General features: G+C 42.3%; 1 pseudogene across 2 annotated transcripts in view; it reads right to left on the bottom strand.

Annotated features, from left to right (window-relative positions):
* Window positions 1–23,727, bottom strand: part of PDE4DIPP5 (PDE4DIP pseudogene 5) — a 61,117-nt pseudogene extending 37,390 nt beyond the window's left edge. The window contains exons 1-11 of one of the 2 annotated variants that reach the window (XR_007066539.1): window positions 23,487–23,727; window positions 22,513–22,686; window positions 21,505–21,618; window positions 20,876–21,065; window positions 16,736–16,974; window positions 14,667–14,783; window positions 12,799–12,942; window positions 11,574–11,712; window positions 11,221–11,267; window positions 10,272–10,323; window positions 9,463–9,559 (exon numbers count right to left, since the gene is read on the bottom strand). The product of XR_007066539.1 is annotated as a PDE4DIP pseudogene 5, transcript variant X2 (transcript). Of the gene's footprint in view, window positions 1–9,462; window positions 9,560–10,271; window positions 10,324–10,544; window positions 11,268–11,573; window positions 11,713–12,798; window positions 12,943–14,666; window positions 14,911–16,735; window positions 16,975–20,875; window positions 21,066–21,504; window positions 21,619–22,512; window positions 22,687–23,486 lie in introns of those variants that run through there. The other variant, XR_004837564.2, reaches the window with a different exon arrangement.
* Between the last annotated feature and the right edge of the window lie 723 nt (window positions 23,728–24,450).

Genomic DNA, 24,450 nt, shown 5'->3' with positions numbered 1-24,450 from the left:
CCCTGAAACCTTTAATTGCTCCAAGATGATACGCTGGTTTGGCAGATCTGGCTCAACTTAAAAGGAAGTTTTTTTGGAAGGTATAACTAGCATTAAAGAAACATGATTCTTGTTCTCATACTTATAAAATCATAGTTGTCATTTCTAGGTTTGCTGAAGACTTGGTTTTAAAATCTTTTACTAAACTGGAGAAAACTCACTTAGGTACATTCTGCACTTTTTGTCCCTTCACCAAAGAACCTCATAGGGTCTTAAATATTTTTAAGTTACTCAAGACACCAAGTATTAATTTTCAGCGTGTAGACATTAGAGGGAAAATCTCTTTATATACTAAAATAATTTATTTTACATTAACCTTTACAAATTGCTACATTGATTTGGTTATATTAAAAGGCTTTAAGAGAAAATCAAAATTGCATTAAGAAAGTATTTTTTTTCTCTTCTTTTCTTTTTTCAATTGAGATGGGGTCTCACTATATTGTCCAGGGTGGCCTCAAACTATCCTCCCACCCTGGCCTCCTAAAGTGTGATTACAAGCATGAGCCACCACAGCCAGCCAAGAAAGTATTGTAAAATCTAAAGTAACTGGAGCTTCAATTAGTTTACTGTTTTCTTAGAAATACAAGTACAGATGGATTTTCAAGGAGGTAAAAGAGATGAAAACAGAAGGTAAAAATGATAATTTAATGAGGCAAAGAGGTGAACTTGAGAATTTGCACCTAAAGAAAAGCTTAAAAAAAAACAGAATAAATAATCCTGGGAGGCTGTACAAGAACAAAGCCTTAGAGTCCCACAGCATGGGCTCACTAATTAGATATGTGACCTAGTGCAAGATACCTATTCTGCCCTACTTGGCTCCTTCCTATTTAAATGAGCTTGCTAATAAGACCTACCTCATAAGGTTGCTTGCTGTGAAAATTAAATAAGACAATGTGCAAAAAGCCCTTAGGACAATGTCTGGTAAGTGTTCAATAACTGTTAGCTATTAAAAGCAGAAAATGTCATTATGGCTGCATATCTGGATGGCGGTGGAGAAGGTAAATTAAACAAAGGTAAGTTAAAACAAAACGTGGGCAATGATAGGTCTGCTGAGGCATTAATACTAGAACTGACACATTGTAGGTGCTTAGTAAATATTGAATGAGTGAATGAATCAGTCAATCAATCAATCAGTGAATGAATCAATGAAAGGAGTCACAGGAAGAAAAACTTACTCTTAGAAAAGCTCAATTCTTTGCATTTTACAGGCTCCGTAATCTCCCCTAATCTATCCATAAGACGGAAGTTATCTGCCACAATTCAGAATAGCCTTTCCATGTCTCATGTAGCGTCTCACGTCAGTGCAGTAAATTTGTAACTTCTTGCAAAAACTACCCTAAAATATACACAAAGACACCATGAACTTATAAACAAGAACTCTAACTTGAAGTGACCTCAACATGAGGATAGGAGAAAAAGATGTTTAAAGATGAAGTAATATTTAACACATCCCTTATTTCTGCCTAAATAGTGTGATTTGAAATGTCTGAGTGTTGTGTGAAAAAAAATGTATATATATATATACACACACATACTTTTTTGAAAAATATAACTATAAAAGAAAAGAGAGTGTGTTGAGTGAGGAAGCTGAAATGAGAAGCCAAGATATTAGTTATTTTTCTGCCACTAGGAGAGGTATCATTATTCTATGTTCCTTCAATTCAGTTATGTACCTTCAGAAATTACTTTCAGCTTCTTTCCAATTCTGAATCATGAGTAAAATCACAAACATGTTCAACAACAATATGTTCCTCTTGCATAAATGTCTCTTCTAGGCCACATACATAATTAAAATCCTGTTGACTCAGGAATAACATCTCAGAACTGAATGTCCAAACTCTGTAACTTGCTTCCTTTTCTAACCAGACAGCACAGCTGCCAAGAGCTTCTGGGCCCTCTGCCTCTTTTCTCCACGTATAATTATTATATATTATATAGCATATATTTGATTTGCCAAAGCCTCCCAGTAAAGATTCCTGTGACTACTTATTTGAACTTTGTTGTGTATACATGTGACCAAAAACACAGTGTACCAAAGAAAAAGAAAAGGAGGTGGCGTGGGAGTGGATGTGCTTAGCAATTCTTTTTTTTTTCCCGTGGAAATGAGATGAAAGTCTTAAGGCAAACAAATATACACTGCTTTGTAAAGCAAAATTCACTTAAGGTGAAAGGATATTTTAAAAATTAGTGATACCATTACATACTTCAAATCCTTGGTTTACAACATTTGAAATGAGAAAATTGATGTTAAAATTCTTCAAAATATATGTGGGGCATAAAATAAAACACTTTGGCTTTCTTTCACCTTTGGGCAGCACCAGATTTAAACCAGACATGAAAATCTATCGTATTTTTAAAGATCTCTAGAGAAAGAAGTTGCACAATGCTTCTTAGGAAGTTGTTCCAATATTCCTCCCAGTCATAAAACTCTTACATTCTAACCTAAATCCCGCACGTTCTAGTTTCAGCCCATTTCCCTTTGCTCTGCCTAAGTATGATTGGAGAACAGTTGCTCACTTACCAAACCAACGTTATGAGACTATCCCCAGTGTTGTATATATGTTTCAGCAATGGAAATTAAACACATAGCCCACAGTTGCCTGGATCTCTTCTATTCCTTCAAAAATATATAGATATGATATTGGCTCTTTTTCAGTTTTCTGAAAGTTCTCCATTCTTCTGCAAATTTTCAGAGAAATCTGCCCATCTTTTAAAGCATTTCTCCAGGCAACAAAAGCAAAAGTAGAAAATGGGATTACATCAAACTAAAAAGCAAAGCACAGCAAAGGAAATTATTAACAAAGTAAAGACACTACCTATAGAAGGGAAGAAAACGTTTGCAAACTCCACATCTGGCAAGATGTTAATATTCAGATACGTAAGAACTTAGCTCAACAGCAAAAAAGTCCAAATAACCCAATTTTTAAGATGGGCAAAAGGCATTAATAAACATTTCTCAAAAGAAGACATACAAACGGACAACAGGTGAATGAAGAAATGCTCAGCATCAGTAATCATCAGGGAAGTCCAAATCAAAACCACGAGGCCGGGTGCGGTGGCTTGTGCTTGTAATCCCATCACTTTGGGAGGCTAAGTTGGGCGGATCACCTGAGCTCAGGAGTTTGAGACCAGCCTGGGCAACATGGCGAAACCTTAGCTAGGCATGGTGGCACGTGCCTGTAATCCCAGCTACTTGGAAGGCTGAGGGATGAGAATTGCTTGAACCCAGGAGGCAGAGGTTGCAGTGAACGGAGATTGCATCACTGTACTTCAGACTGGGTGACAAAGTGAAACTCTGTCTCAAATAAAAATAAAAAAATAATAAAAATTAAAAAGCCTGCTGGGTGCGGTGGCTCACACCTGTAATCCCAGCACTTTGGGAGGCGGAGGTGGGTGGATCACGAGGTCAGGAGATCGAGACCATCCTGGCCAACATGGTGAAACCCCGTCTCTACTAAATATACAAAAATTAGCTAGGTGTGGGGGCACATGCCTGTAATCCCAGCTACTTGGGAGGCTGAGACAGGAGAATCGCTTGAACCCGGGAGGGGAAGGTTGCAGTGAGCCGAGATCACGCCACTGCACTCCAGCCTGGCAACAGAGCAAGACTCCTTCTCAAAACAAACAAACAAAGCAAAACAAACAAACAAATGAACAAAAAAACACACACACAATGAGATACTACTCATTCCAGTTAAAATGGCTATTACCAGAAAGACAAAAGAAAACAGTGTTGGTGAGGATGTGGAGAAAAGGGAACATTTACACACTTGGTGGGATCCTAAACTAGTACAGTCATTATAGGAAAACAATATGGAAGTTCCTCTGAAAATTAAAAATAACATTACCATACGATCCAGAAATCCCACTACTGGGTATTATTCAAAGGAAATGAAATCAGTTATGATGAAGAGATATCTGTACTCCCGTGTTTATGGCAACACTATTTACAATAGTCAAGTTATGAAATCAACCTATGTCAAACAACAGATGAATAGATAAAGAAAATGTGGTATATATATATATATATATATATATATGTATATATACACACACAATGTGTATGTATATATACACACACAATGTGTATGTATATATACACACACAATGTGTATGTATATATACATACACACAATGTGTATATAAATATATATACACACAATGTGTATGTATATATACATACACATAGTGTGTATATAAATATACATACACACAATGTGTATGTATATATACATACACACAATGTGTATGTATATATACATACACACAATGTGTATGTATATATACATACACACAATGTGTATGTATATATATATATATACATACACACAATGTGTATGTATATATATATATATATACACACAGTGGAATACTATTCAGTCACAAGCAAGAATAGCCGAGTGCAGTGGCTCATGCCTGTAATCTCAACAATTTGGGAGGCTGAGGTGGGCATATTGCTTGAGCTCAGGAGTTCGTGACCAACCTGGCAAAACCTCATCTCTATAAAAAAATACAAAAAATTAACTGGGCATGGTGACATGCACGTGTAGTCCCAGTTACTCAGGAGGTTGAGGTCGGAGGATCACTTGAGCCTGTGAGGTGGAGGTTGCAGTGAGCTTAGATTGCACCACTGCACTCCAGCCTAGGTGACAGAGTGAGGACCTGTCTCAAAAATAATAATAATAATAATAATAAATCCTGTAATATGCAACAACATGAATGAACCTGAAGGACATCATATTAAGTGAAATAAGCCAGACACAGAAAAACAAATACTGTGTGATCTCACTCACATGTGGAATCTGAAAAAAAAAAAAGGTTGCTATCACAGAAGCAGAGAGTAGAACAGTGGTTATCAGACACTGGGGAGGGGAGATTGGTCAACAGTCACAAAATTACAATTAGACAGGAAGAATAAGTTCTGGTGTTCTATTGCAGGGTAGGAATAACTATGTGCAATAGTTACTAGTAATAGCAATAAGTTCCCTACTTATACTAAGTTTTCTAACTAATTTCAAACAAACAGTAATCATTAAACTTTAAAGTACATTAGAGAATTAGGGAAGCTTCTTAAAAATAAGATGCCCAAGTTTTGACCCAGACTCAGTAAATTATAATCTTTAGGACCCTGGCATATTTTAATTGTTCTCATTTACAAGTATTAATTCTATTTAGTTAATAAGTGCACTTTAAAAGTTATTAAAATCATTATAAAAACAGAAACAAAAAACCAAAAAACAAAAAAACCCACTAAGCAGATAAGTGTTCTCTTTGTCCTTGGTAAAGCCAATTCTGCTTTTACACTTAAAACCGACACATTAACAGTCAGGCATTCAGGGTGTACTGAATGTAGACATCACAATCCTCATCAGCAGGAAAATAAAAACCATACCTGATCTGTTCCTACAAGTTTCCCACACTAGAACTAAATGCACTGCCAACAGGCTATTGATGTATAATACATTATCACATGAAAATGTGATTACGACAAATACAAGACTACCACTGTCTGCAAGTATATAATGCATTCAACATAAGTTATGCAGGAACTTTCTCAAAATTTAAGCTGGTTTTAGTGGACATGAGCTCATTCAAGGACCCTGAATGGTATGGTATGGAAAGAAATAATTACTGCATAAAACAACATGAAAAGAGAAACATCAGGATAGTACCAAAAGCTGAGAAGTGGGAAAGTTCTATGTGAGAGGTGGCAGCACCTTTTCCAAGAAACTTCAAGGTGAATCAGGCTGTCTGTATTCGGATCCTAAACCATATGGTATCATTATTATTAGTGTTGGATTGCCCTAAAAGGGGAACACCCAGGTGCCTACCTCAATGATTTGCCCAGGTGGGCTCAGTTTCATTTCTTTCTCTGACATTCTCAAGCATCAGTGCTGGATTACCCTAAGGGGCTTCCTCAGATCGCCTGTGCTGTGCATTTTCCCACAAGTTCACAGGCAAGAGAGGGAAAAAAAAAAAAGAACAACTCAAAGCTACTAAAGCAACCGCAGAAATGCAGGTCAAAATGAAAAGGCTCTGAAATTGCTGAGAAAGGAAAGAAGTGAAAGCAGCAAAAAGATGGCAGTCAAATGCCAAGAGAGATTCAAGGGCAACTCAGGTGTGTAAAGAAAGAGGTTTCTGTTCCTACCAATTTGTGTTTATGCTCACAAATGTGTGCCTGCGGGATCAATTATACTCTGCACTGTTGGCCAGCTTTTCTTTTCTCTTTGGAGAAACGTTCCAAACGTTCAAATCCTTCTTTTTCTGGTCCCCCTACTTCTTTTCAATGAGTTATCTACAGCATGTTGTTTTCCTCTAGAGTTTCCATTCTTCAACCTCTTGTCTTTTCCCCAACTATTCCCTTCCTTTAAAAATCTTATCTGCAGCCAAGGCTTCAATTACCATCTAAATGAAAATGACTCTAATATTACATGTTTAGTTCCATCTCTTTCTTAGAATGAAGTTACAGATTTCTGTTTCTTTCTTTTCTTTTCTTTTCTTTTTTTTAAACAGAGTTTTGCTCTTGTCACCCAGGCTGGAGTGCAACGGCACAGTCTTGGCTCACTGCAACCTCCACCTCCAGGGTTCAAACGATTCTCCTGCCTCAGCCTCCCACGTAGCTGGGATGACAGGCTCCCGCCACCATACTCAGCTAATTTCTGTATTTTTAGTAGAGATGGGGTCTCACCATGTTGGCCAGGCTGGCCTCAAACTCCTGAGCTCAGGTGATCCGCCTTTCTCGGCCTCCCAAAGTGGATTACAGGTGGGAGCCACCGCGCCTTGCCAAAGTTACAGATTTCTAAATGCCTCCTGGATAATCTCCATCTGGAGTTGGATTCAGTGTTTCCCAGATCAAACATATCCATTTCCTTCCACAATTGTTTCTTTTCCCGTACCTTTGACTTCGGTTAATAGCACAGTTCTCTCAATCATATCCACTTCTCCCTTTTCTGTACCGTATCAGCTGGCAGGCCCTGTCAACAGCACCCCTAAGGGAAAGCTGGGCCATTCACTTTCATAAGTTCTCCCCCTCAATTACCCCTCATTAACTCTTTTCCAGACTATTGTAGTAGTGTCCCAGATAGGTTCCATCCCTCGATCAATTCTTTATATTACTGGCAGGTGATTTTAATGACCCAGTTTGATTTGCCTTTCTTCTTTTTGAAATCCTTCAATAGTTCTCCATTGCCTGTCAAACTTAATTCAACTCTCTTTCTATAAAAATAATAACTTTATTGAGCCCACTATGTGACCAGTGCTTTACATATATAATTTTACTTATTTCTCCAAAAAGCTTATAAAGTAGGTATTATACCATATCCTTGAAAATGAAATCAATTTTATAACTATGAAATATCATACTGAATGGGCAAAAACTGGAAGCATTCCCTTTGAAAACTGGCACAAGACAGCGATGCCCTCTCTCACCACTCCTATTCAACATAGTATTGGAAGTTCTGGCCAGGGCAATCAGGCAAGAGAAAGAAATAAAGGGTATTCCATTAGGAAAAGAGGAAGTCAGATTGTCCCTGTTTGCAGATGACATGATTGTATATTTAGAAAACCCCATCGTCTCAGCCCCAAATCTCCTTAAGCTGATAAGCAACTTCAGCAAAATCTCAGGATACAAAATCAATGTGCAAAAATTAGAAGCATTCCTATACACCAAGAACAGACAAACAGAGAGCCAAATCATGAGTGAACTCCCATTCACAATTACTACAAAGAGAATAAAATATCTAGGAATCCAACTTACAAGGGACGTGAAGGACCTCTTCAAGGAGAACTACAAACCACTGCTCAATGAAATAAAAGAGGACACAAACAAATGGAAGAACATTCCATGCTCATGGATAGGAAGAATCAATATCATGAAAATGGCCATACTGCCCAAGGTAATTTATAGATTCAATGCCATCCCCATCAAGCTACCACTGACTTTCTTCATAGAACTGGAAAAAAACTACTTTAAACTTCATATGGAACCAAAAAAGGGCCCTCATAGCCAACACAATCTCAAGCAAAAAGAACAAAGCTGGAGGCATCACGCTACCTGACTTCAAACTATACTACAAGGCTACAGTAAACAAAACAGCATGGTACTGGTACCAAAACAGAGATATAGACCAATGGAACAGAACAGAGGCCTCAGAAATAACACCACACATCTACAACCATCTGATCTTTGACAAACCTGACAAAAACAAGCAATAGGGAAAGGATTCCCTATTTAATAAATGGTGCTGGGAAAACGGGCTAGCCATATGTAGAAAGCTGAAACTGGATCCATTCCTTACACCTTACACAAAAATTAACTCAAGATGGATTAAAGACTTAAATGTAAGTCATAACACCATGAAAACCCTAGAAGAAAACCTAGGTAGTACCATTCAGGACATAGGCATGGGCAAAGACTTCATGATTAAAACACCAAAAGCAATGGCAACAAAAGCCAAAATTGACAAATGGGATCTAATTAAACTAAAGAGCTTCTGCACAGCAAAACAAACTACCATCAGAGTGAACAGGCAACCTACAGAATGGGAGAAAATTTTTGCAATCTACTCATCTGACAAAGGGCTAATATCCAGAATCTACAAAGAACTTCAACAAATCTACAAGAAAAAAAAAAACCATCAAAAAGTGGGCAAAGGATATGAAGAGACACTTCTCAAAAGAAGACATTTATGCAGCCAACAGACATATGAAAAAATGCTCATCATCACTGGTCATCAGAGAAATGCAAATCAAAACCACAATGAGATACCACTCATGCCAGTTAGAATGACGATCATTAAAAAGTCAGGAAACAACTGATGCTGTAGAGGATGTGGAGAAATAGGAACGCTTTTACACTGTTGGTGGGAGTATAAATTAGTTCAACCATTGTGGAAGACAGTGTGGCAATTCCTCAAGGATCTAGAACTAGAAATACCATTTGACCCAGGAATCTCATTACTGGGTATATACCCAAAGGATTATAAATCATGCTACTATAAAGACACGTGCACACCTATGTTTATTGAGGCACTATTCACAATAGCAAAGACTTGGAACTAACCCAAATGTCCATCAATAATAGACTAGATAAAATGTGGCACATATACACCAAAGAATACTATGCAGCCATAAAAAAGGATGAGTTCATGTCCTTTGCAGGGACATGGATGAAGCTAGAAATCATGATTCTCAGCAAAATATCACAAGGACACAAAACCAAACTCCGCATGTTCTCACTCTTAACTGGGAGTTGACCAATGAGAACACATGGACACAGGGAGGGGAACATCACACACTGGGGCCTGTTGTGGGGTAGGGGGCTGGGGGAGGGATAGCGTTAGGAGAGTTGATGGGTGCAGCAAACCAACATGGCACATGTATACCTATATAACAAAGGACTTGTTACCAAAGGACTATGTATACCTATATAAGGACTTCTGGTGGCTGCGCTTCTTGCATGGTTCCTGGAAAGCAAGGGTCACAAGGCTGGAGTACACAGCAGAGCCCTTAGGGATTTCACCTGCAGACAAAAATAAATCAAATCAGTGCCCTATACTGCCAGGCCCTACTGATGGCTACCTGAAACTGGAGTGAGAGCTACGTGGTGACCAAAGCCAGGAGCACAGTGAGAGCCAGTTAAGAGGATGAGCTGAGCATGTGCTGCAGTCTGGAGGAGCAACAGGTGCCCGAGGTTAGGGGGAGCCTCCCCACCTCCCTGTGTGCTGAGATCCCTGCTCCAATTCACTGCACACTGGGTGGCTGGATCCTACCACTCCCTCTTCAGGGGCCAGGTGACTCTCCAAATCACTGTCTCAGCAGAAAGAGGCCTTTGTCATCTCCACTCAAGAAAGAAGTGCTTAGCGTGAAACATGCACATACAGAAACAGCCTGTTGTAGGAAGAAGAGGACATTTTGCTGGGAAGTCCTCTGTTAAGTTTATGTCCAGTTGCCATAATGAGGGTGTGGAGGGGCCAAGTCCACAGGGACCTCAGAGCTCAACTAAGTCCAGTTCCATCTTTGACAGATGAGGGTGCAGCAGTCTGACAGAGACTAAGGGACAAGCCAAAGCCACACAGCAGTTAATGATAAGCCTGGGATTAGAACCGAGGCCTCAGGTCCTTCCCAGTGATCTATGGGAGGTGGAGGGGAAAGCTTCCACACTGGAGAAAGCCAGTGGATAATAGAGACTTTTGGGTTACCTTTTAGAGGATACTAGAGACTTTTTCGGTTACCTTTTCTGGGACAGGAATAAGGCTTTACACAGGCAATCCTGTAAGTGCTGCTCTAAAGAGGCTCAGGAAAGAGAAGAATTATCAGAGAAAAATAAAAGGGAATTAGTGAAAAAATAAAAAAAAAAGAGCAAGTTAAACTGGCCCAAGTCATTTTTACACTATGGAGATCAACATTCTCTCAGGTTATGGTTTAGAAACATTTCTAGGAATATGCTGAATTGCTTATGGCAAAGCTTTGAAGTCCACGTTAAAAGGTTTAGTTTCTGATTTTTAAACCATTTCATATACCTCAAGTTTTTCTTCAAAGCACTTCCTAGGGAATGATTAACACTTAGTGTTTTATGTCGATAATGTCTGGTACATATGTAACATTCCGCCCCCACCCCCTAAGGTTCAGTTGTTATTTATTAACAAATTCTCTTTTAGACCAATGAGACACAACAGATCTCTTTTGTCATGTTACTTAAAGATACATCAAAATCAAATTGCTGTTCTTAACCCAGGGGTATGCAGTGAAATCAGTTTATTAGGTTGCAAATTGCTTTTACTTTTTCATGAACAGTAGAACACATAACTGGCCTCAAGATCCCTCTACCAAAAGCTCATTCAGAGGCAGACTCCTGAATGTCTAACAACTTCAAGGGTGAGCTGAATTGCATTTCTCCAGTCTCCGAACTTGGCATCAAAGAAGAAAAATTGGAGTAAAAAGGAGAGATGATCACAATGTGAGAGTGAACCAAGATACAGGGGCAGGAGCTGATGGGGTGGGAGGGTGATGGGAACAGAAACTATCAGGAAGCTCACTGAGGACCTGTGATCTTGCAAGTGGACTGGAAATCTTCTCCTGGAAGGCCAAAGCAGGCCAAGGGTTGCCTACAATATCTGCTAACGGATGGTGATGGGTGGGGGACAGGCTTGGTGCCTCTGACTGGTGCAGTAGTTTCCTTACCTCTAAGTTAGTCCTCGCCTTCTTTAAAACATCATGTGTTCTGGTTACTGAAACAACAAAAGAGCACCACAGAGTAGAAATCACCAGCAGAAATTAACCCTACTTGCTTAGCGTGAGAATTCTAAAGCATTTATTTCTTTCTGGCTATTCAGCTTGGAGTCTCCTTCTATCCACCCCCTGTCCTCCCCTCCCTCTGCAGCCACAATTGCTCATGGCACAGGAGGTTTGGGGACATCAAATCAGTCTCAACTCCCAACATCCCCAAGCCCCCCTGATCACTTCTCATCTGCAGCACAAGTGGGGCATCGGGAAGACTGCCTGTTTCTTCCCCCATTCCCTCTCAGGGAACCTACGCTGGCTGACGATGAACTGCTCCATGCTCTCCTTCTGCTGGTTGGCGTTCTTCAGATGCTCAGCTGTGCTCTGAAGTAGCCGCTCCTGTTTGGATACTTTGGTTCTCAGTTCCAGAAGTTCCCTTTCTGTTGATTCTCCCTGGATAAGAGGAACAGACTCTTACTGACCAGGCAGAAGGCCTAAAGCACCCTGTGCTTTGTGGCTCTTTCCAGTTCAAAGAAGGATTCTACAATCTTCTCAACCCTCCTGAACTGGATTTCCTCCTTCACAGCCTCGAATACCTCCAGCTGAGGACAGTTTAGGATGAGGCCATTAGGCAGGAATAATGAGACTCTGGAATTCCCCATGCAGACTAGCACAGGCCTACACACCTGTAGCTTAAGAGAACCTCGCCTCAGGCTGGTATCAAACTCCCAACTCTGAAGAGGACCTTGCTTTAGTCCTGATATCAGTTCTGTCACTCTCCCTTCACAGGTAAGATTGAGAGTTCAGAAATGTTATGCTGGGGAGAGAGATCTGGACTCAGGAAAGTTTGCAAGTTTGTAAATATTTGTGCCAACATGAAGATGGCACAACACCCTCTCCCTGGAATTAGCATAGTTGGATCCAAAAGGTATTGGTGCCATTGACCTGGAAGTAGAATCCCTGGGGAGGGGATCCTGAAACCTGCCTACATGAGGGTCTGCCAATCAGAGTTAGCCTGAGCTCTGAGCAGATCCTGAGGGGAGGCTGACTTTCCCCAGGCCTGGTCCAGCGATGCCAGCTTAAGTTGTATGTTGGGATTCCAGGCAGTGGCTAAAAAGGCTCAGTCTCATGGGGCATTCTGTGATCATTTGACCACGGGACCTGTGGGGTGGGAGATGGGTGCTAAAGCTTTAACTGAATTTCAGCTCATCCAAACTTCAGAGAGGTAAAGAAACTGAACATTTATGGATTGCCAGGGTTATGATGTCTCCGCCTTCTCCACACTCCTTCCTCTTCTTCTTTGATTTCTTATCCAGGGGTCAGGGGGCTGGTGGGGAATGGGATGTATTTAGAGCTGCAATGAAAGCAGCCACCAAGGGTCAGAGATGTCCCTCCAGGGACACTCCTCTAAGTTCCTGTCTATCCCAATTCACTATGTGGCTCCTGATTTTCTGGAAAAGCTGTGACACTGAGGAGACAGAACAGTATTGGAGGGCAGGAGAACTGGGTTTGAACCAAGAAAGGACACTGGCATCTTACCACTTTGCCAGGCAGCACAGGGATGTGGGTGCTTGGCAGGGCCACTCTCCAGAACATGGTGAGGAGGGAAGCCGACTCCTCTAGGGCATGGTGCAGGGCACTGGTGCTGCTCCGAAGCTCATGAATGCCTTTGCTGCCTAGCACCTGGGGAAAGGTAACACCACAGGAGCGGAGAGATTACTTTCTTCCCCCTGCGTGGGCTCAAGCTTCCTTTGTGAGTGAGGCGCAGAACATGGGCCTGCTTGAACCTGTGAAGCCCTCGCACAACCATTTGCAGCTCTCAGAACTAAGGTGCTGCTCCTTTTACCAGGAATGCCTTCCTCCACCTGCAGAACCCACAAGGCTTTCAAAACTCACCCCCCTTGCTATGTCCTCTATGAATCTGTTACCTTCCTTGCCTGAGATAAATGACCACATTTGCATTGGTGCTCTCACAGCACAGAGGATGATTTCTCATACTGTGCCTGTAGCCCCATACTGTGCCTATCTACTTGGGTGTGTGTCTTGCATTCCAGTGTGGGGGCTCCATGGAGGCAGGGCTGTCCCTATGCATCCATGGGTCTCCAGCAGTTCAGACAGCATAGCCACAGGTTCCTGGTCTCTCTCACTGGCAAGGTGCTCTCAGAAGCTTTGCTGACTGCCTTCCCTCCCCTATGCAGTCTGCACAAGGAAATGCCTTGGCTGCCAGGCTTCTCACCCCTTCCATATGTGGGGGCCATACACCTGCAAATCCTTCAGTTTCTGTCCATCCCATTGAGTTGACTCTGCCCACATATGGTCATGTGCCTGCATGACTGTGGTAGATAATAAGCTACCAAAGGCTGCTAGGCAATGCCACGTGTTTCTGTGGGGCTGAGGGGAAATATCCAGTCAGCTACATCTGGAAAAGAGCAGAACTCACAGTGAAAATAGGAGATAGAGAAGAAAGGGCCTGGCTGCTATGCATGGAAGAGGAAGCCTCAGCTGTTGAGAGATGCAAAGCATGAAAAAAACAAAAATGGTGGGAGAAGGAGTTAACATCAAAGGAAGAAAGGGCACAAGGAAAGAGTGCACCTAAAGCTTCAGGTGTGATTACCCCTGTGCCTTGGGCTTCAAGGCCAGGGAAGCTGCACGCTGATCTCACAAGAGACACTATCTTTTTGACCAGCAGCTTGCCCTCCGCAATCTGCTGTCTTAGGGCACTGTAGTCATCAATGTGGCCAATGACATGGCGGCCATGCTTATTGGCAAAGGAGCCATCAGTAGCATCACCCTCCAGCTTGGGAGGGGCCTTCATTACTGGAGAAGTATCCAAACCCAAGCCTGAAAAAGAAAATGACAACACAACAGAATCTTCTGTTATTCATAACGATATCCTCAGTTTGCTCCAACTAAAAAAGAGGCAGGGAACAAGAAAAGGACGAGGCTGGGAACAAGAAAGGAAGCCTGGGAATGTACAAGGGTGGGGCAAAGTCCACAGAGATCTTCTGGCTTCTATATTTTTATAACCTTTCTTACATTATCTCTTAATGATAAATTTGCCAGGAGACAATTTTTTCCTTATTGGCAAATGAAATAGGATGAATCATAAATAATAAGTTTCTGGGTAGAGAAGACACAGACAAGGAAGTCAAGCTGGATACAGAGAGCATTTTCAAGAATAGAGAGATTATGGCACAATGAAGCAAAAACAGCAGTAGGAAAACTACAGGAGGATGAACAATGGCAAGAAAGGCAGCCACAGAAGGTGCAGGGAGTAGGGCTAAAGGCCTTGGGGCATGCAGAGAAAACTCTCTAAATACAGATAATATGTTTAGAGACAACAAAAGGTTGTTTGCATTAATCACTTTCCAACATCAGTCCCTGGGCCCTTTAGTTGCCATATTTACCATGTGTTCTGTTGATTATGGCCGTTTCTGAGCCAGGAGTAGAGGAAGCAGAGCTGGGGAGGACCAGAGCTGGGGAATTCATACCAACATCCCGGACTGGAGGGGACACAGCTGAATCTAGGGGGTAAAGGCAACCACAGTTTTCAGGAGCCCTGGAACACACTGCACATGAAGCACATGCACACCTAGCCGTCCCCACTGAGACCTAAGGTGGCAGGACTCTCCTCTTACAGAATTATCCATACCCCACAAGCAAAAGCAAAAGCCCATGAGTCACTGAGTTCAGAATGTTTCCATTCTTCAGAACAAAAAGATATTCCTTTAATGGAGGGGTGTTCCAGGAGAATGTAACTTCTAGTTTGAAAAATTATTAGGTGTATTTTTATAAACCAAGTCTTGAGTATAATTTGTGTGTGGTATCTAATACGATGCCCCGTAACTAAATGTAATATGTATAAATATACATAGTACATATTAAAATCTAGAATCAAAGAATCAAGGAATGAATGGATTCATGGGGGACTAAACTCAACATTCTAGTCATCATTCTGATGAGGTAATACTGAAAGAAATTGACTTGTATGAGAAGAACGGAGAGAGAGGGCTTGGTGGGTTAACATCTTGCTGGAGACTAAAAAGCAACCCTATGGTGGAGGAATTGGAAAATATCACAAAGAAGGTAGAAAAGGTCCTACTCAGGCAAGTGTGGCCCAGTGCCTGCTTTCCAGCTCAGGCCTCAGGGGTGCTAGAGAAAGATGGGCAGGGACTGCACCAGTGGGGCTGAGTCTTGGCTGCTGTGTGGGAAGCCAGAGAGAGAGGAAGGCCTGGTTAGAAAGAAGGAAGAGTTGGAGACATCACTGAACACCACAACCATCAGGGCAGCCCAGAGAAGGGCAAGGCATCCACCTAATGTAAGCTGAAAACAGCATAATCATGTTATTGTCACCTTCATTTGACAAATAAGGTTACTGTCAGATAAATGAGCATCTACAAGAACCAGAGAAAAATAAAGATTAACATGACCCAGAAATAGCTGGCAGGAGAGTTTGAAAGCTCAGCTTTAGAGAAACTGAACAGAAGTGGTTCCTGATTTGAATAAAATTGAAGGTATGGCCATGGAGGTGAGTGGAGATGGTGTACTAAACGGTGTATCAAAAGGAGAAAAGGACAGAGGAAGTAGAAATTGAATGATTTAAGAGACTAGGGGGACACCATTGACATTTCAATGAAAACTGGGAGAAGTGAGATTGATGGGGGATATTGAGAAGAGAAGGGGGACCTGGTCAAACACGCCTATCTGAAAAGGCAGGCAAGGGGTGGGGTAGAGAAAGCGAATGATGGCCACCCGAAATAAATCACCCACCATCCAGGACTTCCCCAGAGCCCTGTTTCCTTGGGTGCAGGAACATTTTACCACACACTGAGTTCCCCACCTGTGAGGGAAAGGGGGACTAGAGAATCTGGGAAGGTCAGCAATACTGAGAGAGGGCACAATGAGCTGGAAGGAACACAGACTGAAAATCACAACATCTGGTTCTGATCCTGGCTTTGTCTATAACTTCTCTAAACCCCCGCTTGTCTGTTAATATCTCAGGACCTAAGTTTTCTTATGTGAAATACAGAGATAGCAAAACCTGCTTTACTTCAGGTGAAATTATATATGTGAAAACACTTGGCTAAAACTAAAGCACCAAGCAAATCCAAGAAAAAGATATGAACATATACAGCTACTAATTATTGAGCAATTCTTAGTGTGCCAAGCACTTGTAAATGATCTCATTTAATGGTCAAAATCATATAAGGTATATATTATTATTATCCTCATCTTAAATATGAGGAAACTAAGGCTTAAACCTCTGAGACTTTAAACACCTTGCCCAAATCAAACGACCTCTAAGCGGTAAACTCAGAATCTGGAGCCCAGTCTGACCTAAATCCCACGCTTTCACTCAGGCTGCTAGACTAGAGCATCTCTGATTTCAACCTGACCATAAGGAGCATGGACCAGGCAGACATCCTGGTGATCTCCCCACTGGCCAAGGGCTTTCTAAGTCCCTTTTCCTTCCTACCTTGGAGGAGCAGCTGCTTGTTTCCAGGGTCAGCGCTGGCTGGGAAGTTCTGGTTAACAGAGGAGGGGCTGAGGCTGGCTTTGCCAGCAGGCTATCCAGCTGCTGTTGCAGCTGCAGTCACAGACAATTGTTCCCCTGAATGCTGTTCTCCAGCTGCCCTCTCAGACCTCGTACCTCTGCCACCAGGTGGCTCAAGTCACTGCTCAAAGGGATTTGGTGACAGACATCCAGGCTGTAAGCTAAGAGAGAAGAGGAGTCTGGTAACATTGACCCAAGTATTTCCAAGCACTTGTCAGAACCCTCCTCTGTGACATTCTTTTCTGCCAAGGACCCCACTATCATCTGAGTCTCATGCAACCCATCTATGATGGAGATGTCACCATTTCTGTGTGTGGCCGGGGGATGGCACTGAGCTGGCACACATCCAGTCTGAAACTTCCTTGCGGTTTAAGTTACACACATGCACCTATAGAGCATTTGATTGGCAGATAAGGATAAGTCCATATTTCATCTCCATAGTAACCTTAGTCCTGTAGGCTAAAGTATAGGATCCTCCAAGGTAGAACGTCAGTACTGAGCTAGAGAAGGGTAGGGGATGAGGGAGAAAGAGATTTCACAGTCTTCACTCTCAAAAATGAAAGAGGAGAAGGAGGAGGCCTTTTGGTAGCATGTGAGAATGCGAGTTGGGCACATTAGACCAGGGATTATAACTGAGTTTTTCAATTTCTCTCTCTCTCTCTCTCTCTCTCTATATATATATATATATGTGTGTGTGTGTGTGTGTGTATGTGTGTGTACATATATATACACCTACATATAGTGTGTATATATATGTTGTGTGTGTATATACATACTATATATAGGTGTATACATGTACATATATACATGTACATATATACACACATATATACACATACATATATATACAAATATATATATGTACATGTATTTACCTCCATTCACCACATGTAGTCTATTTCTTTGTACTGGGGATGAAGAGATCTAAGAAATATTCTACAAGGCTACAATCCCTTATCTGAAAACCTTAAGGCCAAATGTATTTCGAAAGGTAAAATTTGTTTTAGTTTTTAGCAAGGCAACAGGGTGCATATATCATATATAACATGTACCCAGTTGCAGGTGAACCACAATCCTTAATCAAACATATAACTATTTCCGCAATGAGCTATGTGAATATCCTAAGTAGATAAATAAAGACTTATGAATATCCTCATGTCAGATCATCTAGATTTTGTCACTAAATGAGTATTTGAAAAATTTAGTTTGGAGATCGTATTGAATTTTGAAATTACAGATAAGGGATTATGGAGCTTTAGTGGTTGTAGCTTTGAAATGAGTCCTAAAAGGCAGGGAGAAAAGCATGAAAGGAAAGGGAGCTCAGGATGAAGTCGTTTCAGAGACTTTGGTAAATAATCTACTCTTGAATTTTGCCCGAAGTTTTATGAAGTTCCTCTCTCTCTTTCTCAATCCAAGTTCTCACTAAATTTTGCTTATTTTTTTAAGAGACATTTTAAAATCTATCTATACCCTTTCATCTTCCCAACAGCACCTTATATTAGACTGTCATCTCTTAATGTGCCAGAATATCACTAGACCCATCCAATAGGTTTCCCAGATTCTAATGTCTCCCAATTCCAGGACATCCCCTGAGACTTAGCATCCTAAAGTTCTGTTTTCATCATATGCTTATCTTCTTTGAAAAAGAATAGACTTAGTTTCATTATCTACTCTACAGAATGTCAACTTTCACCCTGACCTGTGAGCTTTCACGGTTTGGTGGCTCTACTCCACCATCCTGACTTCTCACTCCCCCAACCCCAAGCTTCTCCTGTGGTCAGGCTGGTCCCACTGACCCAACACTCACCATGACTGTGTACTTAAGCTATTCTCCCAGCCTGGTGAGCCCCCTCTATTTCTTCAAGTTCCAGTTCACCTTCTCTTTAGAAAATCAGGAAACTAAATCAGGATTTATGATAATTCCAATCTAAATTCCACTGCCCTTCACGCATTGTTTAGCCCCCTGGAGGGACATAAAATACATGAGTTCTTTTTCACCTGACACTTCTTCAAATATCCGAAGCCAGTTCTCATGTCCTCAAGATCTTTTGAAAGCCTACATTTCTTTAGTTTCTTTGACCAGTTGGAGATTTCTGGTCCACACCATTGTGCGCCCTGTCTTCATTATGTTCCCTAGTGTGTCAATGCCCTTTTCAAAGATAGTGCCCCTTAATCTAACAATATTTTAGACCATGGTCTCCACAGGCGAACATCACACTTACACTACTGTAGTGTCAGTTTGAGCTGGCATTTCTAGCAACCTCTGGCCTGTGACTTACTTGTGTGATCATGTTTCTACCAAACCCCATACTCTCAAGTCCACGAATGGCCGCCTGTCCTATATTTCTACCCTCATCCTATATTTCTACCACTGATATTTTTAATCGAGCTCAGGATTTTGCTTTTTATCTTTGCTAAATTTCATGACATTGATGTCAGTCCTCTGTCCCAGCCTGCTGTGACTTATTCACATTATGTTTTGAATACCCTTCTCCATTTAAAGAATGAAGAAATATATCAAATTCTCAAATATTAGATTATTATTTCAGCAGGCAACAAAGTCTTCAATAAATGTCCTTAATATTTAAATCCAGGATTGAAATTTAGGTCCTATCAGTGGTATTTCTATAAGGGTTTTTTGTTTTCGTGTCTTTTAATTTTCTCCTGTGGGCAGGCTGGTCCCCACTGACTCAACACTCACCATGACTTTGTACTTAAGCTATTCGCTCAGCCTGGTAAGCCCCTGTATTTCTTCAAATTCCAGTTCACCTTCTCTTTAGAAAATCAGGAAACTAAATCAGGATTTATGAAAATTACATGAGAGGGCAATAAGCTGAGCGCCAGATGTCACTAGGGAAAGGGTCAGGGTGGGAGCGGACTGCCTGCTGCATTGGGCTGAATGGGTTGTCAGTATGTATCACCGACAATATTAAAGGCCTTTTCAAATGATGATATCATTAGGACAGTTCTTTTGCTTTCAAAAATGTTATAATTTAGACATTGATAGGAATGTCTAGATTTTCTTAAAATAATTAGGAATGATCAGGCTGGATCTTGTTCGTGTCACCAACCTGTCACCTTGGGCTTTGTGTATGAGAGTTCTTATTGGGAGCCCCAGGCTCGGGTGGGAGTTTCTGAGACAGAACTCTGTAGCTTCCCATGATCTCCACAACTCCCAAAGGAAAGACCTCACTAGCATCCTATGCAAGGGCAAAAAGCTCATGGGGTGAGGGGAGAAGAACACATACCTTTCAGCCCCTTCTTGGAATTGCCATAAAGTGCCTCATAGATTTGTAACTCTGACTGGAGGGACTCAAAGAGCTGCTGTTTCTCTTCACACTGTTGCTGCAGGAGAACCAGCTTGTGCTGCAGTCTGACCAGGGAGAGGCAAGGCCCACTGAGATGGCAGAGCCACTCAGCCACACCAGAGCAACAGGCTGAGAGCCAGATGTCAACTCAGAGGGTCATAAAGGGTTACGGTTAGGGTTACCTCTGAGCCCCAGATGTCAACTCAGGGGGTCAGGAAGATCATCACTTTTATTTCACAGATGTGGAAATGGTGGCTGAGGGAGGTCAAGTAACTTTGCTTGAAAACACACCATTACCTACATTAGTTCAGAGCAGAACAGACACACCAGCACAGTCTCCTTACTGCTCCTACAGTGCTCTTTGCATCCTGACAAGCAGTTACAGGGCTTATGCTGGGACCAAGCATCACAGCCAGTATAGAAGCTTCCTAGGTGATGGTGAGACTAATGTCCTATATCTAATTGGAAGCATGGGGACCCTTCTTTTTCATGTCTCTGATATACTGAAGACTTCTATAACAGAGTTTTACTCTCTCAACTTGGGAGTGACAAGGCATTCCCAGAGAAGTCCTTTCTTCTGCTCAAAGCGCCCCTCCCCCCACCCCACTGACACACAAAAATCAGGAATGGCAGAGGGAACATTGAGGTTTCCAAAAGAGGACACCAATTATCTTGCCAATATCCCTTCTTATAATGTAAGAATGAATGTAAGAATGAAGAATGCTACCTTCTCTGTCAATGGGTCCCCTCTTACCTGGAGTCGTTTTCCTGGAGGGAAAGGCGTTCCTCCCTGAAATGCAAGACCTCTTGCTGCTTCTCCCTCAAGTCTTCCAAAAGCTGCTGCCTTTCCACCTTCTGGTGCTCCAGCTCCTCTTCCAGCTCTTGAAGGTGGGATCGAGAGGACAGCAGAGCCTCCCTCAGGCTTTCCATCTCCTGGGAGTGCTCTGGTGAGAGGAACACAGGAGGATTGATTTATTTTCATGGGGCCAGAGCTCAGCAGGAAGATGACCCCAAGCACATCCGCCCTGACAAACAGAGCTAAGGAGCAGGGAAGGAAGGCCCTATGTTGGTGGGAAGAGCATGCTGGCTCAACATCCCCCGCAGCCTGGAGAATGGTACATCTCTGTCTTTGCAAAACCCTTCATTCCACTTATTTAATCTGTCCTACCTTGCTCTTAGAGAAATTCTGGTTTCTAATGCTCACCACTTTCCAAGTGCTCACATACCATCTGTTCAATAATCTATCCTGATCGCTGTTATTTAACACGATGGCAGAATAGAAAACCAAATCCAAAACCAGCAAATTTAAGTAAACACAAATTTCTATAATACCTATGTAGATAGAATAATCCATAGCATAGTGGGCGAAATGATGATACATACCTCCAGAGCAACAGCTTTATCATGTATTCGCTGGCGAAGTTTCTCAAGCAACGTTTCATTTGCTTCAAGGGTTTTGTCTGAGTTATCTCGATACTGTAGGAGCTCCCGAAATTCCTGAGACCAAAACATCGTTTCTTTTATTCTTTTATCCAATATTAACTAAATTGCCAAGTAATTTGTTAGTTATTCAGGATAAAAAAACAAGATGTGATCACTCTCCTCAAAAGTAACAAGTTTAGCAGAGATAACAGACATAAATTGTAAAGTATTCTGCAACATACACCAGACACAACACATAGAATTAACTGTTGTGCAACATACGCTAGCCACCAGGGGAACACAGGATGCACTGCCTAACTCTGCCTGCAGGTGTCAGTAAAGACCTCACAGAGGAGGTAATATTTGCAGTGAGTCTTAATTAAAGGACTAGGATTTCCTAAGTGAAGAATGGAGAGGAGGACATGTTAGAGAAAAAAAAATATGCACACTATGCATACAATGAAAAAATTGTACATTCAGTGAAATGTAGTGGATTCAATGTGACTGAAGCTTAGAGTAGGTGGCAGAACAGATCAGTCTCTTCTTAATGCTCCATCTTCCCCTCAAACTTTCATTCTATCATCAAAATTACTCTTTGGAAGTTTCTGTACAGTTTGTCTTCATCTATTACACTGAGATCAGTAGCCAAATCTTTTGTCTTCCCAACACCCAGAAAAGTGTTTGACTCACAGAGGTGCTTAATAACTATTTTCTGAATATTAAGTCTTTATAAAAGACTTCATAAAAGACTGCATAAATCAGGGCTATATGTACTGTTTCTTACACTTGTTAGTAAGCATCTTAATTCACAAATTATATTTTCTATTTATTTTAAATCCTCCTGATTCCCACCTCTCAATGTTTTCCATATAGCAGGGACTCAGCACAGGTGGATTAATATCTTAAAATTATATAAACAAATTTCAGAGTTCTATGAGCCCAGTGTTCATTGAAATCATGTAAACTCACCTGAAGCAACTGCTCCTTGTGACTCAGACTATGGTTTAGGTGCTGGACGTTTTGTTCCTGGGTTCGAATCTCATTGTATTTTTCAGCCTCCCAGGCACGAAGCTGTTGGCTCTTATTCTGCAATTCTTGTAGCTGCTGCAAGGCTTTTCGCAATTCCTGAATTAAACATATTACCTTTTTAAAGAGATCAAAATTGTCACATGATTATCAGAAATGACAACCAGACTTGTAAAGCACTTAAAAGCCATCACTCCCACTCTCACCAGAAAAAAGCTGAACAAACCGAACATCAATAACTACTTATATGCAACAGAAAATGGAGGTCCTAAGACATGCCAACCCTATGAAACCTGGAGCCATGGGCAAATACAGAGAATCACAACTTACCTGGATCAGAAACCACCACTGGAGCCAGCATTGGGTAGACATACTTCAAAGGGAGTTGGCTAATTGCTGGAGCTGACAGCAGCCTAGCCTGAGAGGTAAAAACTCCTGGGGGCCTAACTAGTGGGAGCCTCCCATACCTTCATGAGTTTTGTCTCCAGAAGACTTAGGGTGAGAATCAGAGAAAACTCCTTGAGTGCTTCTGGAGGGGAAGGAGAGGTAACTGTTGAAAAATATGCCCGGTGCATTCTGTTCTACTTAACAAACACATGCCCTCAAAAGAAAATTCTGTTTCCAGAGTCTAACCAATGTAGGGAAAGGGAAATACCCAACTCCAGTGACCTCTAGCCATCCTGTCTCACCTAAGAGGGAACAAAATTTGAGAAGCACTTTTGAAGGTCACAGCCCAGGGGCACAGGCCCACCACAAGACTGAGACCTAATCATAGGATTATGGAACACTTCCCTCCCCTACTCCTTACCACTGTATCAATAGTCATATACATACATATACACACACACACAGTATATATAAATACACACACACTATACACACACACATATATATAGTAAGAGAGAGAGATTTATTACATTTGATCCTCCATATCTGTAGGTTCTGCATCCATGGATTCAACCAGGCCTGACTCCAAAATATTTTTTGAAAACTTATTATTGTGTTTGCACTGTACATATATGGACTTTTTTCTTTGTCATTATTCCCTAAACAATACCACATAACAACTATTTACATAGCATACGGGAGGATGTGAGTAGGTTATCTGCAAACTCTACGTCATTTTGAGAGGTGACAGCGTTCTGGCAGTCCTCACAGCCCTCGCTCGCTCTCGGCGCCTCCTCTGCCTGGGCTCCCACTTTGGCGGCACTTGAGGAGCCCTTCAGCCCACCGCTGCACTGTGGGAGCCCCTTTCTGGGCTGGCCAAGGCCGGAGCCGGCTCCCTCAGCTTGCAAGGAGGTGTGGAGGGAGAGGCGCGAGCGGGAACCCGGGCTGCGCCCGGCGCTTGCAGACCAGCCGGAGTTCAGGGTGGGCGTGGGCTTGGCGGGCCCCGCACTCGGAGCAGTGAGGGCAATGAGGGGCTTAGCACCCGGGCCAGCGGCTGAGGAGGGTGTACTGGGTCCCCCAGCAGTGCCAGCCCACCGGCGCTGTGCTCGATTTCTCGCGGGGCCTTAGCTGCCTTCCCGCGGGGCGGGGCTCGGGACCTGCAGCCCGCCATGCCTGAGCCTCCCGCCCCCTCCGTGGGCTCCTGTGCGGCCGGGGCCTCCCCGATGAGCGCCGCCCCCTGCTCCACGGCGCCGCCCACCGGTTTTTCTGCCACTTTTGCAAGGGCGAGGTCAGCCCCAAACTACCGGTAAGAGCGCTGTGTTCTCTATACTTGGGAACCTCATAGATTCCTGGCCCCGATTTCCCGGAACTGGGTCTGGAGCTTTCTGCACATCATTGACTCCCCGGACATCGGTCTGCCGAATACCTGCTGCCCACTTCTAAGCCGCCGGCCCTAAACCCTGGGCATCACGGCCTCGGCCCCGTACCTCCTGC

This window comes from Homo sapiens, chromosome 1 (assembly GCF_000001405.40).
Source record: "Homo sapiens chromosome 1, GRCh38.p14 Primary Assembly".
NCBI lineage: Eukaryota > Metazoa > Chordata > Mammalia > Primates > Hominidae > Homo > Homo sapiens.
Note: the sequence above shows the minus strand (reverse complement) of the source record. Positions and strands in the feature narration are given on the sequence as shown.